The 15,430-nt window shown below is 43.2% G+C and overlaps 1 pseudogene; it reads left to right on the forward strand.

Moving 5' to 3' along the window:
• LOC100289320 (NME/NM23 nucleoside diphosphate kinase 2 pseudogene) lies at positions 12,002 to 12,444 on the forward strand (annotated as a pseudogene).

Here is a 15,430-nt window from a genome sequence, read left to right on the forward strand (position 1 = left end):
TAATAAATAGATTTGGGACAATCAGGTAATCTTCTGGCAAGAAAAATTTGGACTCCTTTTCTCATACGTCACACTAGAATAAATATAATTCAAACTAATTCTAATTCAATCTGATTTAATCAAAGCTTCAGGTATAAAATATGAAATAATAATGATACTAAAAAGAAAACATGGGAGAATCCTTTTTCTACTCTCATATGGGGAAGGCAAGACTCAAAACTCACATGCCATATAAGATAGATCGATATAGTTGACTACCCAAACACTTGATAGGTTGATAAATTTGGCTATACAAACAAAAAAATTTTTGCATGACAAAAGTCAACACAGTGACAGTAGCTGGAGTGGGGGATGATCTTGTGAACTTTGAGGCCACTCTGATGACCTTGGATCTTACTCCAGGAGATGAGAGTTGTTGGAAGCTTTGAGCAGATGTGATATGACTTAAATGTTAACAGGATCTGTGGCTGCAGTGTGCAGAATAGACTATGGGGTGTGTGAGGAGATGATGGTGCTCAGCCCACTGCAGTGGCAGTGGAGGTGGAAGGAAGTGGTTGGATTCTGGGTGCCATAAGGCACTGCTCCTAGCCATGCACCATTTTCTCTCATCCTCACTACCACCCTATGAGGTAGGTCATTTATCCTATAGGGGAGGAAAGATTTTTTCCTCTACCCTCCTAGGTTCCATAGCTGGGTCAATAAGATAGACTTACATCCAGCAGATCAACGGGAGAAAAAGTATACATGATTTTTTTTTTTTTTTTTTTGAGACAAGGTCTGGTTCTATCACCCAGGCTGGAGTACAGTGGCGCAATCTCGACTCACTGCAATCTCCGCCTCCCAGTGGCATAATCTCGACTCACTGAAACCTCCACAAACCATCCTCCCACCTCAGCCTCCCAAGTAGATGGGACTACAGGAACATGCCACCATGCCTGGCTCATTTTTGTATTTTCTTGTAGAGATGGGGTTTCGCCATGTTGCCCAGGCTGGTCTCAAACTTGTGAGCTCAAGCTATCTGTCTGCGTCTGCCCTCTAAAGTGCTGGGATTATAGGCGTGAGCCACTGCACCTGGCCACAATTATTAATTTTTATTATTAGGTGTGTGGGGGCCTCACAGGAAACATGTGAATACCCCCAAATGTGCCGAGATTAGAGAGTGTGTATACTCTTTTAATAGGAGATGGGGAGGAGAGATGTCAGCCACTTAAGGGAGACTAAGTGATTTTTAGGAAAGATGAATGGCTCTTGGAAGAATAAATGGGAGATATGATAATGCAGGGAAGAAAAGATGTCTATTTTTATCCCTTGCTAGGTTCATGGCTGAGGCCCCTATAACAAAGGCAGATTAACAAGAGAAAAATATACAAATGTATTTAATATAAGTTTATGTGACATAGGGGCCTTCAGAAATGAAGACCCAAAGAAACAGGTAAACCTGTGTGTATTTTATGCTTGACTTGATGAAGTGGACAGTTGTGCAGAAGAAGTATAATTGGGCAAAGGAAATATAATCTAGTGGTAATAAACTGGGGGGAACTTAGCAAGGCCTGTCTGGTCAGATTCTTCTCTGTGTCCCTGTGTCTTCAGAGATAAGGACATTTCCTTTTCTCCAGGTATAGGGAGGCCACCCCTAGAATGAGGGTCTTATGACCTGCTTCAGAGGAAGGTCAGAGGATTCTTTTTTGACCTACCTCAGGGGAGATGGGTGGGAGAAGGTCAGAGAGTAACCTTCCTGCTTCTGCTGTTTTCTCAAAAGCCAAGCGTATTAATCAGTTTTCAGGCTGCTGATAAAGACATACCTGAGACTGGGAAGAAAAAGAGGTTTAATTGGACTTAACAGTTTCACATAGCTGGGAAGGCCTCAGAATCATAGTGAGAGGTGAAAGGCACTTCTTACATGGTGGCATCAAGAGAAAATGAGGAAAAAGCAAAAGTGGAAACCCCTGATAAACCCATCTCATGAGACTTATTCACTATCATGAGAATAGCACGGGAAAGATCAGCCTCAATGATTGAATTACCTCCCCCAGGTTCCCTCCCACAACATGTGGGAATTCTGGGAGATTCAATTCAAGGTGAGATTTGGGTGGGGACACAGCCAAACCATATCATTCCACCCTTGGCCCCTCCAAATCTCATGTCCTCACATTTTGAAACCTATTATGCCTTCCCAACAGTCCCGCAAAGTCTTATTTCAGCATTAACCCAAAAGTCACTGCCCAACGTCTCATCTGAGATATGGTAAGTCCCTTCTGCCTATGAGCCTATAAAATCAAAAGCAAGCTAGTTACTTCCTAGATGCAATGGGGGTAAATACAGCCATTCCAAATGCAAGACACTGGCCAAAACAAAGGGGTTACAGGGCCCATGCAAGTCCAAAATCCTGTGGGACAGTCAAATTTTAAAGTTCCAAAATTATCCCCTTTGACTCCAGGTCTCACATCCAGGTCACACTGATGCACAAGGTGGGTTCCCATGGTCTTGGGCAGCTCTGCCCCTGTGGCTCTGCAGGGTACAGCCTCCCTCCTGGCTGCTTTCACAGGCTGGTGTTGAGTGTCTGTGGCTTTTCTAGGCACACAGTGGAAGCTGTCAGTGGATCTACCATTCTGGGGTCTGGAGGACGGTGGCCCTCTTCTCACAGCTCCACTAGGCAGTGCCCCAGTAGGGACTCTGTGTGGGGGCTCCAACCCCACATTTCCCTTCCACACTGCCCTAGCAGAGGTTCTCCATGAGGGTCCCGCCCCTGCAGCAAACTTTTGCCTGGGCATCTGGTCGTTGCCATGCATCTTCTGAAATCTAGGCAGAGGTTCCCAAACCTCAATTCTTAACTTCTGTGCACCCACAGGCTCAACACCACTTGGAAGCTGCCAAGGCTTGGGGCTTCCACCCTCTGAAGCACCAGCCCAAGCTGTATGTTGGCCCCTTTCAGCCATGGCTGGGGGGGCTAGGACATAGGGCACCAAGTCCCTAGGCTGCACACAGCACGGGGACCCTGGTCCTGGCCCAGGAAACCATTTTTTCCTCCTGGGCTTCTGGGCTTGTGATGGGGGTCGCTGCCGTGAAGGTCTCTGACATGACCTGGAGACATTTTCCCCATGGTCTTGGGTATTAACATTAGGCTCCTTGCTACTTATGCAAATTTCTGCAGCCAGCTTACATTTCTCCCCAGAAAATGGGCTTTTCTTCTCTATCACATTGTCAGGCTGCAAATTTTCTGAACTTTTATGCTCTGTTTCCCTTATAAAACTGAATGCCTTTAACAGCACACAAATCACCTCTTGAATGCTTTGATGCTTAGAAATTTCTTCCACCAGATACCCTAAATCATCTCTCCCAAGTTCAAAGTTCCACAAATCTCTAGGCATAGGCAAAATGCTGCCAGTCTCTTTGCTAAAACATAACAAAAGTCACCTTTGTTCCAGTTCCCAATAAGTTCCTCATCTCCATCCGAGACCACCTCAGCCTGGACTTTATTGTCCATATCGCTATCAGCATTTTGGGCAAAGCCGTTCAACAAGTCTCTAGAGAGTTCCAAACTTCCCCACATTTTCCTGTCTTCTTCTGGGGCCTCCAAACCGTTACAACCTCTGCCTGCTACCCAGTTCCAAAGTCACTTCCACATTTTTGGGTATTTTTCAGTAGTACCCCACTCTACTGGTACCAGTTCACTGTATTAGTTTGTTTTCAGTCTGCTGATAGACATGCCCAAGACTGGGAAGAAAAAGAGGTTTAACTGGACTTACAGTTCCACATGGCTGGGGAGGCCTCAGAATCATGGCAGGAGGCAAAAGGCATTTCTTACATGACAGTGGCAAGAGAAAAATAAGGAAGAAGCAAAAGTGGAAACCCCTGATAAACCCATCAGATCTCAGGAGAGTTATTCACTATCACAAGAATATCATGGGAAAGACTGGACCCCATGATTGAATTACCTCCCCCATGTTCCCTCCCACAACATGTGGGAATTCTGGGAGATACAATTCAAGTTGAGATTTGGGTGGGGACACAGCCAAACCATATCACCAAGGTAACATATTTTGGGGTACTGTGTCCAGAACCCCATTAATAGTTCATGACAAAGTTTGTCTGAGTGCGGTGCTGACTTCTTGTCTCCTATTTTGTGATCAAAGTTGATCTTCCCTGGTTGATCAAACTCCTGGGGAGGGGATTGATGACAACTGAGTTCCTTTTGGAGTTTCTATCTTTAGGCAAATAAGAGGAGTTCAAAGAAAGCTTCTCCTTGCATTTGCTACTTTTCAAGTGCTTTCCGCTCAAACTAATCCCTATGCCAGAGAGACATGTTTTAGAGTGGCATATTCTGCCATCTTTGTTCCCTGTTGCACAGATCAGGAAACAGGTTCAGAAAGGCTACACCACTAGTAAGCAGAAGATTCAACCCAAGCTTAGCCACGCCCAAAGCCCAGGTTCTTTGCATGCCACTCCACTGCCCCCCAGTAAGTCAAGACATTTCACCAGCTGAGATTTTTATGCTAATTTGGAACTTTCCATAAAGTATCATATTATCATTCTGTATCTTTACAGTAAAGTTCAAATGATTTAAAAATCACCATAAACAAAATTGAAAAACAATTGACAATTTGGGCTAAAAATACAGTTCATATCACAGAGTAATTTTTTTTCTTTTTTTTTTTTGAGACAGAGTCTCGCTCTCACTTACGCTGGAGTGCAGTGGCATGATCTTGTCTCACTGCAACCTCTGCCTCCCAGGTTCAAGCGATTCTCCTGCCTCAGCCTCCTGAGTAGCTGGGATTACAGGAGAGCACCACCACGCCTGGCTAATTTTTGTATTTTTAGCAGAGACGGGATTTCACCATGTTGGTCAGGCTGATCTCGAACTCCTGACCTCGTGATCCGCCCACCTTGGCCTCCCAAAGTGCTGGGATTACAGGCGTGAGCCACCGCACCCAGCCGTAATTTTGTAAATGTCTAATATCTGTAACTCATAAGAAAATGTCCAATGTTTTTAAAAATTGGTCAAAGAATATGAATAGAGTGTTCACGGAAGAGGAAATACAACTGATTCTTAATAGATAATGATGTTCATTTCCACTAATAATAAGAGATTTTTAAATTAAAAAGGGAACTACCAATTTTCAGCCATCAGTTTGTTAAACTCCTAAAATGATAATCTCATAATTGGAAGAAACATATTCCCTCATATGCTGCCAGTGAGACTGTAAATTGGAACAATCTCTGAAACGGGAAATTTGGTAACAACTCTCAAAAATAAAGATATTCATGTCCTTCACAAGCCCCCAGTAGAAATGGGAAAAGTTCCCTTGTCCCCCTCGTAAGGCATGTTATGGGGATGTGGCTTGCTTCTTCAGTGCCCTGCTGCTCAAACCTCTAGAGGAGCATACAGAATGGCAGGCTGTGGGGCTGCAACCCCACTGCAGTGTCTAGGGGTGAATGTTTACGACTCCTAAGAAGCCCCAGTGGCGTGTGTTACAGGGTGCCCTTTTAGCTTTGCTCTTTTAATTTCACCGTCTGTAGGTGGCTTGTGTTAACCAGCTTAGTTAAACTCTACTTTGTCACAAGCACAGAAAGCTTTCTGTATCCTGGTTTCTTGCCTTGGTGTACTGGAGGAATCAGATCACACCTGGGCTTGGAGAATGAGTGCAAGGTTTTACTGAGTGGAGGTAACTTGGGGGAAGTCAGAAGGGGATATAGTGGGAAGGTTTTCCCCTGGAGTCGGACTGCTCAGCAGCCTGGGCTCTCCTCTGACTGCCCCAGCAAAACTCCTCATTGTTCTGTTGGTGACTGTTGGTACATTCCTCTTGACATCCAGCCACCCATGCGTTCCTCCATCTATGTGCTCAACATCCAGCAGCTTGTATGTCTGTCTTGCTAGGGTCTCGGGTTTTTATAGACACAGGATGGGGGTGTGGCAGGCCAGGGTGGTCTTGGGAAATGCAACATTTGGGCAGGAAATGCCTGTCCTCATCTAGGTCTGTGGGGGTGGAGTCCTAGACAGGGACCATGCCCTCCTCTACCCAGCACTTCCTTTCCTTGCTTTCATATCATTTAAAGGCATCATGCTCTTTCCTTCCCAGTACTTCCATATCACACTGAGGAATTTAGTCTATACACAAACACAAGAATATTTTCGTAACTATAATAGCAAAAAATTGGGAGTGACCTAAAAGTACACCAACAAGGCACTGGTTAAATACCATGCAGTGGCTGGGCACAGTGGCTCATGCCTGTAATCCCAGCACTTTGGGAGGCCAAGGTGGGCGGATCACTTGAGGCCAGGAGTTCAAGACCAGTCTGGCCAGTATGCTGAAACCCCGTCTCGACTAAAAACACAAAAATTAGTTGGGTGTGGTGTCACATGCCTATAATCCCAGCTACTTGGGAAGCTGAGGTAGGAGAATCGCTTGAACCTAGGAGGTGGAGTTTTCAGTCAGCCAAGATCATGCCACTGCACTCCAGCCTGGGTAACAGAGGGAGACTCTATCTTGAAAAAAAATAACAATAATAATAATTAATTTTAAAAAGATTTTTGGCAGGGTGCAGTGGCTCACGCCTATAATCCCAGCACTTTGGGAGGCCGAGGTGGGCAGATTACCAGAAATCGGGAGTTCTAGACCAGCCTGACCAACATGGAGAAACTCTACTAAAAATACAAAATTAGCCAGGTGTGGTGGCACATGCCTTTAATCCCAGCTACTCAGGAGGCTGAGGCAGGAGAATCACTTGAACCCAGGAGGCGGAGGTTGCGGTGAGCTAAGATCCTGCCATTGCACTCCAGACTGGGCAAGAAGAGTGAAACTCCGTCTCAAAAAAAAATAAAAAGTTTTTTAAAAATACCATGTAGTACTACGTAGTTATTTAAAATTTCCCAAAGCAGTAGCCTTTGGAGAGAGTAGCAGGGAAACTTACATTTCGCAGCATTCTCTTTTGTATGTGTACCATTTAACTTTTGTACTGAATGTATGTATTGCTTAATTTTAAAAATACATATATTATTTTATTTATTTTTTGAGGCAGGGTCTCACTCTGTTGCCCAGGCTAGAATGCAGTGGTGCAATCATGGCTCACTGCGGCCTCAACCTCCTATGCTCAAGCGATCCTCCCACCTCAGCCTCCTGAGTAGCTGGGATTGCAGACATGTGTCACCATGCCCAGATAATTATTTTTTGCTTTTTCTGTAGAAATGGGGTCTTGCTATGTTGCCCAGGCTGGTCTCACATTCCTGGGCTCAAGTGATCCTCCTGCCTCAGTCTCTGAAAGTGCTGGATTACAGGCATGAGCCACTGCGCCTGGCCAAATATATGAATTTTTAAAAATGAAAAGTAAAACTAAGATTGAAGTAGTAACAATTGCCAACACTTAATGTGGTGGTTATTCTATAGGCCAAACATTGTTCCAAGAGATTTATTGGATCAACTCATAAAATTTTCACAAAAATTAAATGGGAAAGATCTATTACTATTTTAATCGCACAAAGAGAGAAACCAAGGTCCACAGAAGTTAAATAATTAGGTTGGATTCCAGGCCAAATAAAGGACATTAGTGGGACAATTGGAAAGATTTGAATAATGTTTGTTGATTAGATCAGGGATCTGCAAGCTTTCTTTGTAAAGGGCCAGAGAGTAACTATTTTAGGCTCTGTAGACCAAACGGTGAGAGAACCTTGGCAGGTCTCTGTCACAAGCAGTAAATTCTGCATGTGCAGCACAAAAGCAGGCACAGACGTGTGAACAAATGAGCATGCTGAGTTCTGATAAATCTAGTGTATGAACATTGAAACGTGAATATCATATAACTTTCATGTGTTAAATAGTGCTTAACTGGCTGGGTGCGGTGGCTCATGCCTGTCATTCCAGCACTTTGGGAGGCCGAGGCCGCTGGATCACTTGAGGTCAGGAGTTCGAGACCAGCCTGGCCAACGTGATGAAACCCCATCTCTACAAAAATTAGCTGGGCATGGTGTCACACGCCTGTAATCTCAGCTACTCAGGAGGCTGAGGCATGAGAATCGTTTGAACCCAGGAGGCGGAGGTTGCAGTGAGCCGACATCGTGCCACTGCACTGCAGTCTGGGCAACAGAGCAAGAAGAAAGAAAAGAAAGAAGGAAGGAAGGAGAGAGAAAAGAAAGAGAAAGAGAGAAAGAAAAAGAAAAGAAAAAAAGGAAAGAAAGAAAGAAAGGAAAGAAGGAAGGAAAGAAAGAGCTTAACTATCTAAAAGCATTCTTACCTAGGGCGCCCTGCAAAAATAGATGGTGGGCTGGATTTGACTGAGTTTCAGGCCAAAACTTGCTACCCCCTGGGTAAGATAACGGTATTGGTCATCGCACTCTGGTTATGTAAGAGAATGTCCTTGTTTTCAGAAAATACTACACACGAAAATATTTACAGTGAAAACGTCATTCTGTTTCTAACTTGTCTGCCAAGTGGTTGTCTGGCCTCCGCTTGCACAGCTCCCTTGATGAGGAACTCATTTTATTAAGTGGCTTATTTTCTTACAGGACAACATAAAAAATTATTTACCAGATAAAAAATATATATGCTTCCATGTGAGACAAATGCTAGAATAAATACAATTATTTTAAAGTGAATGAAATTGGTCTTTTGATAACAAGACTAAAAAATTGGCGTTTTTCAAGTGCAAGGTGAGATTGCAAGCAGGCCAGCCAATGTTTAACTAGTACTCCACCTAGTGGCCAAAGCTTGAATGAACGACTGTGGAATGACCAGTCTCCCTCCAAAAGGGCCAAGGGCAGAGGAAAAAATAAGTTAAATTAACTTTATTTTGACAACCAGTAGAATAGAAATTCATGATTTTAAATGTACAAAACAAGTAGTGATTATTTTTCTAGCAAGAAACTGGATGTATTTTTTCTTATGTGAGGAAAATAATTTCCTAGGTTGAACCCAAATTCTACAATAGATCAGTTGTAAATAAAATTATATTCTCAATGAAAACAAATATTGCTTACTTAATTCCTTCGTGAAGACAATTTTACAAGGAAAAAACCACAAAATTATGAACTTCCAAATGGCTTGCTTGAATCACCTCAGCTCCTTAAGATAAAAGGCAAAGATTTGTCCATTGGAAAGCTATCTCTAACTTGTGGAAATACGAGAAAATAATGAATGTCCATGAACATATTAAAGTTAACTTAGGAAGTTTCAATGTAATTCAAAGCATTTTACATATTCACCAAATATGAAATTCAACAACACTGCTTACAGTTGGCCAATTATTTTAGATTCCTATGGACACATACATGATTCAAACCACACAGCTTGCTCTAGCTTATATAAACCAACTACAAGTTAATGGGCATCACCCCTCTTCCAGGATTACATAGTCAGGTGAAATCATCAGCGGGGAAATTGGGCAGATGGTGCTATAATGGTTCCATGACAGATGTTAAGAGTCAAGGCTTGGAAATCTAGAATCTCAGGTTTGGAAGGGCACTCTAAAGATCACCTTGCTTGGCCAGCTGACTGATCTTTGAATCCCTTTTTTGACATTTTCAGCAATGAATATTCAATCTCGTTTAAGCCCTGAGAGTGATGGGCAGCTCAAGACTATGTCCCAAGGTTCTTTCCATTCTTGCCAAGTTGGAAAATCTCTTGAGTAGCCAGAATTGTTCTTGCAGACTTTCACCTCTAACCCGCTGATACGCCTTTCAAGAGCAAGTCTACCATGTCTGCTTATGAAAGTCTTCACATATTTGAAGAAAACTACTATGTCCCACTGAAGCATTTAAAAAAATCTGGATGAAGTATTTTTAGTTCTTCATATCTCACTGTTTTATTATCTACTTAAACCTTTCATTCTTTTCCACATTGGTCTCTTAAGTCATTCATCTACTCATCAATTTTTTCATTAGTATTTATAGATCCAACTGTTGGAGTTTTCTTCTACCTCTATTGAATTGCATGTTCCTAAAGTAAGTCCATCCTTTTAACCCACTGAAGTCTTCGGATCCAGAATTTTTCTATGCTCACTAGATTTGTATCATTTCAAGTTTAAGTCTATCTCTGTTCATCCATAGGGAGCAGTCACTAGAATTTTCCCAAGCTTTATTTAATCCTCATAACAACCTGTTATTAAGTGAAGATATCTTGAAAGTGATAGTGATTGACAGTCAGGCAATAGTTAATCCATTTTATAGAGAAAATAAAAAGCAGGCGGCCAAGTGAGTCATTCAAAGATGGTGTCCAATGGACCATGACTCTCAGTTTTCATGCCTACTCCCAGTGTGGTCCTCTTTTACATTAAACCTGGGCTTGACCTGTGGCTCAACTGGTAACACTGTCTAGGTTGAATGTGATTTTTTTTTTTTTTTTGAGATGGAGTCTCGCTCTGTCGCCCAGGCTGGAGTGCAGTGGCGTGATCTTGGCTTGCTGCAACCTCCGCCTCCGGGGTTCAAGCAATTTTCCTGCCTCAGTCTCCCGAATAGCTGGGAATACAGGCACATGCCACCATGCCCGGCTAATTCTCTGTGTGTGTGTGTGTGTGTGTGTGTGTGTGTGTGTGTGTGTGTGTGTGTAGTTTCAGTAGTAGAGATGGGGTTTCACTGTGTTAGCCAGGATGGTCTCGATCTCCTGACCTCATGATCTACCTGCCTTGGCCTCCCAAGAGTGTGATTTTTAATTGCCTTTTGAGTCAAATCATTCAGCTGGTAATAGATGAAACTTATGTTCTCCTTGCTAAGAAATGATGAACACAACCACAATACTAAACAATGGTATGAATGAAGCAGAATTGGGAATTATTTTGTGGGCAAAATGTAAATTAGAGCACATCTGAATGTTTTATTCAATCACAATATATCCCAATGTTAAACTTAGAAAGTGAATAAAGCATATTAAATTGATTTGTCTCTGCAAATTTTAGAGCGTATGACTAGATTTGTACATATCTGAAGAGTCATTAACAGTGCCAATCAATCCAATTATATACATTTTACAGGCATCTTGCTGTGAAAATAATTGAACACAACTATTTTGCTTCCCTAAAATTATTATATCTTTAAGTCAATAAATATATTTTCACATTTTAAATTCATGGGGACTTTTTTTCTGCCCATAAAGAGAAGAGATTAATAAATATATTGATAATCCTTGGAAGGAATTTGTCTTTAAGGGGAAAAAAGCTATCTGATTTGCCTCTATTTTATTTGAAGACAGAGCTGAGTTTGCCTGAAGGCATGTAGAAATTTACAGCTTCTGGATCAAAGAGAGGTCATGATGTAATCAGGACTGTTTGATGCAAGTAACAGCAACTGACCAGGGCTATCCAAAATCAGCTCTCCACTTCCAGAGGACGTGCCAGTACTGAATGCCTCTTCTATCGCTGGGTACCATAACCATGTGGTACACGGTGAAAGATGCTAACTGCCCTTCAACTCTGGTCCCTGGGCATTGGATTAACCAGCTTGGGTCATGTGCTCCCACCTCCATGATGGGCGTGAAGGAGGAAGACTTCATCCTGATATTCTTTGGTAAGAGTTGAGGTACCACATCCCACGGACACCACACAAGGTGGAGGATTCTTGCAAATTAAAAAAGGGGGGTTGGATGTGGGGACAGCCTGAATTAAAATAAAAGCTGGTTACAATATTCATCTCTACAGTGCCGGTGGTTTTGACTTAACGGCCCTGCTCTGACCTGCATCTCCCAGAACAACATTTTTTTTCTTCACATGAACTGTCCTGCCCCAGTGTTTCTTCCTGCCCAAGCCTGTCCCATTATATTACCTAAGTATTCATGATTCATCACTAACTCTTCCTCTACCCCGCACCACCCCCTCCACCACCACCACTACTATCTCCTTCCACTTCCAGTTGGATTTTTCTCCCCAAGTCATGGGAAATTCATCACTGGTATATGAAGAAGGAAGCACAAGAATGGGAAGGAGTGAGGCAGGGGCTATCTGCAGAGGAGAGTTCTTGTTCTTACTGGCAAGGCTGAAGCAGGAGAGATATGTGTTCTAATGCTCATGATAGGAAATCTGGGTGCAGGTCACTGCAGCTCTCAGCTCCTGCAGTGCAGCCACTGCCTGCCCCATCAGCTTCCCAGACCATGTCCAACCTCGAGCGCACCTTTATCTCCATGAAGCCACACGGTGTGCGGTGGGGCCTGCTGGGCAATGTCATGAGGCACTTTGAGCTGAAGGGATTCCACCTTTGGGCCTCTGAGGAACACCTGAAGCAGCTCTACCCTGACCTGAAAGACTGTCCATTCCTCCCTGGGCTGGTGAAGTACATGAACTCATGGCCATGGAGGAGGGACTGAGTGTAGTGGAGACAGGCCGAGTGATGCTTGGGAGACCAATCCAACGGATTCTAAGCCAGGCACCAGTGGCGGGGACTTCTGCATTCAGGTTGGCAGGGACATCATTCATGGCAGTGACTCAGTAAAAAGTGCTGAAAAATAAATCAGCCTATGGTTTATGGCTCCATGTCCCCAAATACCCTCAGCCCTGGGAAACCAAGACAGTTGATGGCACTACATATTTCCAAGGTCAGAGTCTGTGGGTGGGAAAAACTTAACCTGAAGAGCTGGTTGATTACAAGTCTTGTGCTTATGACTGGGCCTATGAACAAGAGGTGGACACAGCAGCGGTCTTCTTCAGCACTGCTTGGAGTGTCCCTGGACATGGTTCTTCATTCCATTGACTTGGAAGCAACAGGATTGATCATTCTTTTCTAAAGAATATTTACCAATAAAGCCTTTGGAAACTGGAAACAAACAAATAAACAAACAAAAAGGAATCTGAATGCATATGTGATGTAAATGGGTCAAAGATGGGCCCTGTTTCTTGGTCCTCATGTGTTGAACTTCTTCGCAGCAGGCTAGGACCATGAACTCGAAGCCTGCCAGCACCAATTCAAATTTTTACACATATTACTTTAAATATAGCCCCAATAAGCCTATTTTTAGACCATTAGAGCCTGACTTCTTTGCACACCCCACAAAACTGCACCCAACACCTGTTAACCATATATAAGATACATTCTGTAGCTACTAAAAACCCCAACAGACCTGCTGCTCTTCAGAACTCTGACCCAGAGGCTCCCCACCTTGCTGCTGAGTGACACTGCCTAGACCCGTGTACCTCCTCTCCCATTTCCCTCTCCACTCAGTGCTCTCTTTCCCTCTTCCCTTCCAGGTGGTGGCCCCATGCCTGCAGCTCTCTCTAGATCAGCTCTTGGTAGGAAGAACACCCTTTCTTTCTTATGCAACCTTGTCACAGCACTATCAAATAAGCTTGTTGTGCAATATTGCCATCTCATCTTTTCCTTAATCAGTCCTGAAATTTACAAACTTACCACAGTACCTATCTTATCTTAACCATGATCCAGGACTAAATTTCAGCTATATCAAGGATTAATTAGGCTTCTGGAAACATAACCATCAGAAATATGTAGTGTCATCAACTGTCTTGGTTTCCCAGGACTGAGGGTATTTGGGGACACGGAAATTTTAGTACTAGAACTGGGAAGGGGCGCAGGCAAACCACAATGAATTGATCACCCTAGGAATAACTGTTTCTAATAACTGTTTCTTATAACTGCACCCCCAATTACTGATTTCAAGTCAACTTAGTGAGAACCTTTGGAGACAGACTGTTGGAAAGTATCTGTGCTCACTTTACTCAATGCAATCCAGCTTTTAAGTAGGGCCGGCTATGTGTATCTTAATATGATTTTCAACAGCTTCCCCTGGAAATCTTTATGTTCAGTAATATTTTACACAGACCAAAACTGGGATACCAAGGACGTCAAGAGAATATTCATGACTTGGCTAAGAGTCAAAGAAAGATTTTATGGTGACCCAAGAAAAGAGTCAATAAATAGCCAGTCTTTCTTTAGAAATTGTTCTTTAAAAGCTTGATTATTTCTGGTTTCTGGTCAAAATTTACTCCAGGAAGACTAGACAGGCCATGCTGGCCAAAAGCCCAATTGTCAGGGCAGCTGCCCTTGAAGTTGGGAGAAATTTTATTAACAATAAAGTTCCAAGGTCAGAATCTGCAGGTGGGAAAAACTCATGGTTGAAAATTGCCAATAAAAGACAAGTTCAGTGGTCTGTGCCTGCAATCTCAGTGACTCAGGAGGCTGAGATTGGAGGATCGCTTGAGTTTAAGAGTTCATGACCAACCTGGGCAACATAGTGACACCCTGTCTCTAAAAAACAAAAAGAAAAAGAAAAAAGAAAATTGTAACAAACACCGATGAAATCAAACTGAGTCATGCGTATCAATTTGGGTGAAGTTTTCAGGAATCTCTAAATCTATTTTCTTGGTAGCCAGGAAAAACAGCAACAACAACAAAACCTTATAGGGATGAACTCGTTCTCTAAATTTAAACTCCTTGTTTAATACGCTTTTAGCAGGAGATCATCTGAATCTGTTAAAAAGGCACACTTCTCATGATGTTTGTGTTAGTTTGGGTTCTCCCCAAAAACAGAGCCTGAGAAAAGAACTCAGGTGTAGAACATGGGAGGCGATCCCAGGAAACAGGAGAAAGGGAACTGGAAGAATGAGCAGGGAAGGAGAAAATCAATATAAGGAAGGGTACATTATCAGGGTTACTGCCATGGGCAGTGTGGGCTCAGTTCTCTCAGGAACGCTGAAAAAGAAAAAAGTTCTTGTGGGTCAGGAATTTGGGAGCAGCTTGTCTGGGCAGTTATGGCTCTAGGTTTTTCATAGGTAGCTGTTAGATGTTTGCAGGGGCTGTGATCATCTGAAGGCTTGTCTGAGGCTGGGGGATCCCTCTCTAAGGTGACTCACTAATGTGGCTAGCAAGTTAATGTTGGCTTTTGGCCTTAGGCCTCAGCTCCTCTCCACATGAGCCTCTCCACAGGGCTGTTTGATTGTCCTAGCAATACAGCGGCCAGCTTCCTCCAAAACAAGTGATCCAAGAGATAAAAATGGAATACACAATGCATTTTATGATGTGGCCTTGGAAGTCACACACTGTCACTTCTTTCATATACCATTGATCACACAGACCAGACCTGATTCAATGTGGAAGAGGCTATGTGAAGGTGTGAATTCCAGGGAAACAAGATTCTTTGTGGTCATCTTGTAGGCAAGCTGCCACCTAGCCTCAATTTCCTAGCCACCAAGTTCTTGAGAGGATTAAATGAGATAACGCATATAAAGTTCTTTTTTTTTTTTTTTTGAGATGGTGTCTCGCTCTGTCACCAGGCTGGAGTGCAGCAGTGCAATCTCGGCTCACTGCAACCTCTGCCTCCCAGGTTCAAGCGATTCTCCTGCCTCAGCTGGGATTACAGGCACGCAACACCACGCCTAGCTAATTTTTGTATTTTTAGTAGAGACGGGGTTTCCCCATGTTGACCAGTATAGTCTCTATCTCCTGAGCTCATGATCCTCCCGCCTCGGCCTCCCAAAGTGCTGGGATTACAGGCATGAGCCACTG

Source organism: Homo sapiens, chromosome 9 (genome assembly GCF_000001405.40).
Source record: "Homo sapiens chromosome 9, GRCh38.p14 Primary Assembly".
NCBI classification, from domain to species: domain Eukaryota; kingdom Metazoa; phylum Chordata; class Mammalia; order Primates; family Hominidae; genus Homo; species Homo sapiens.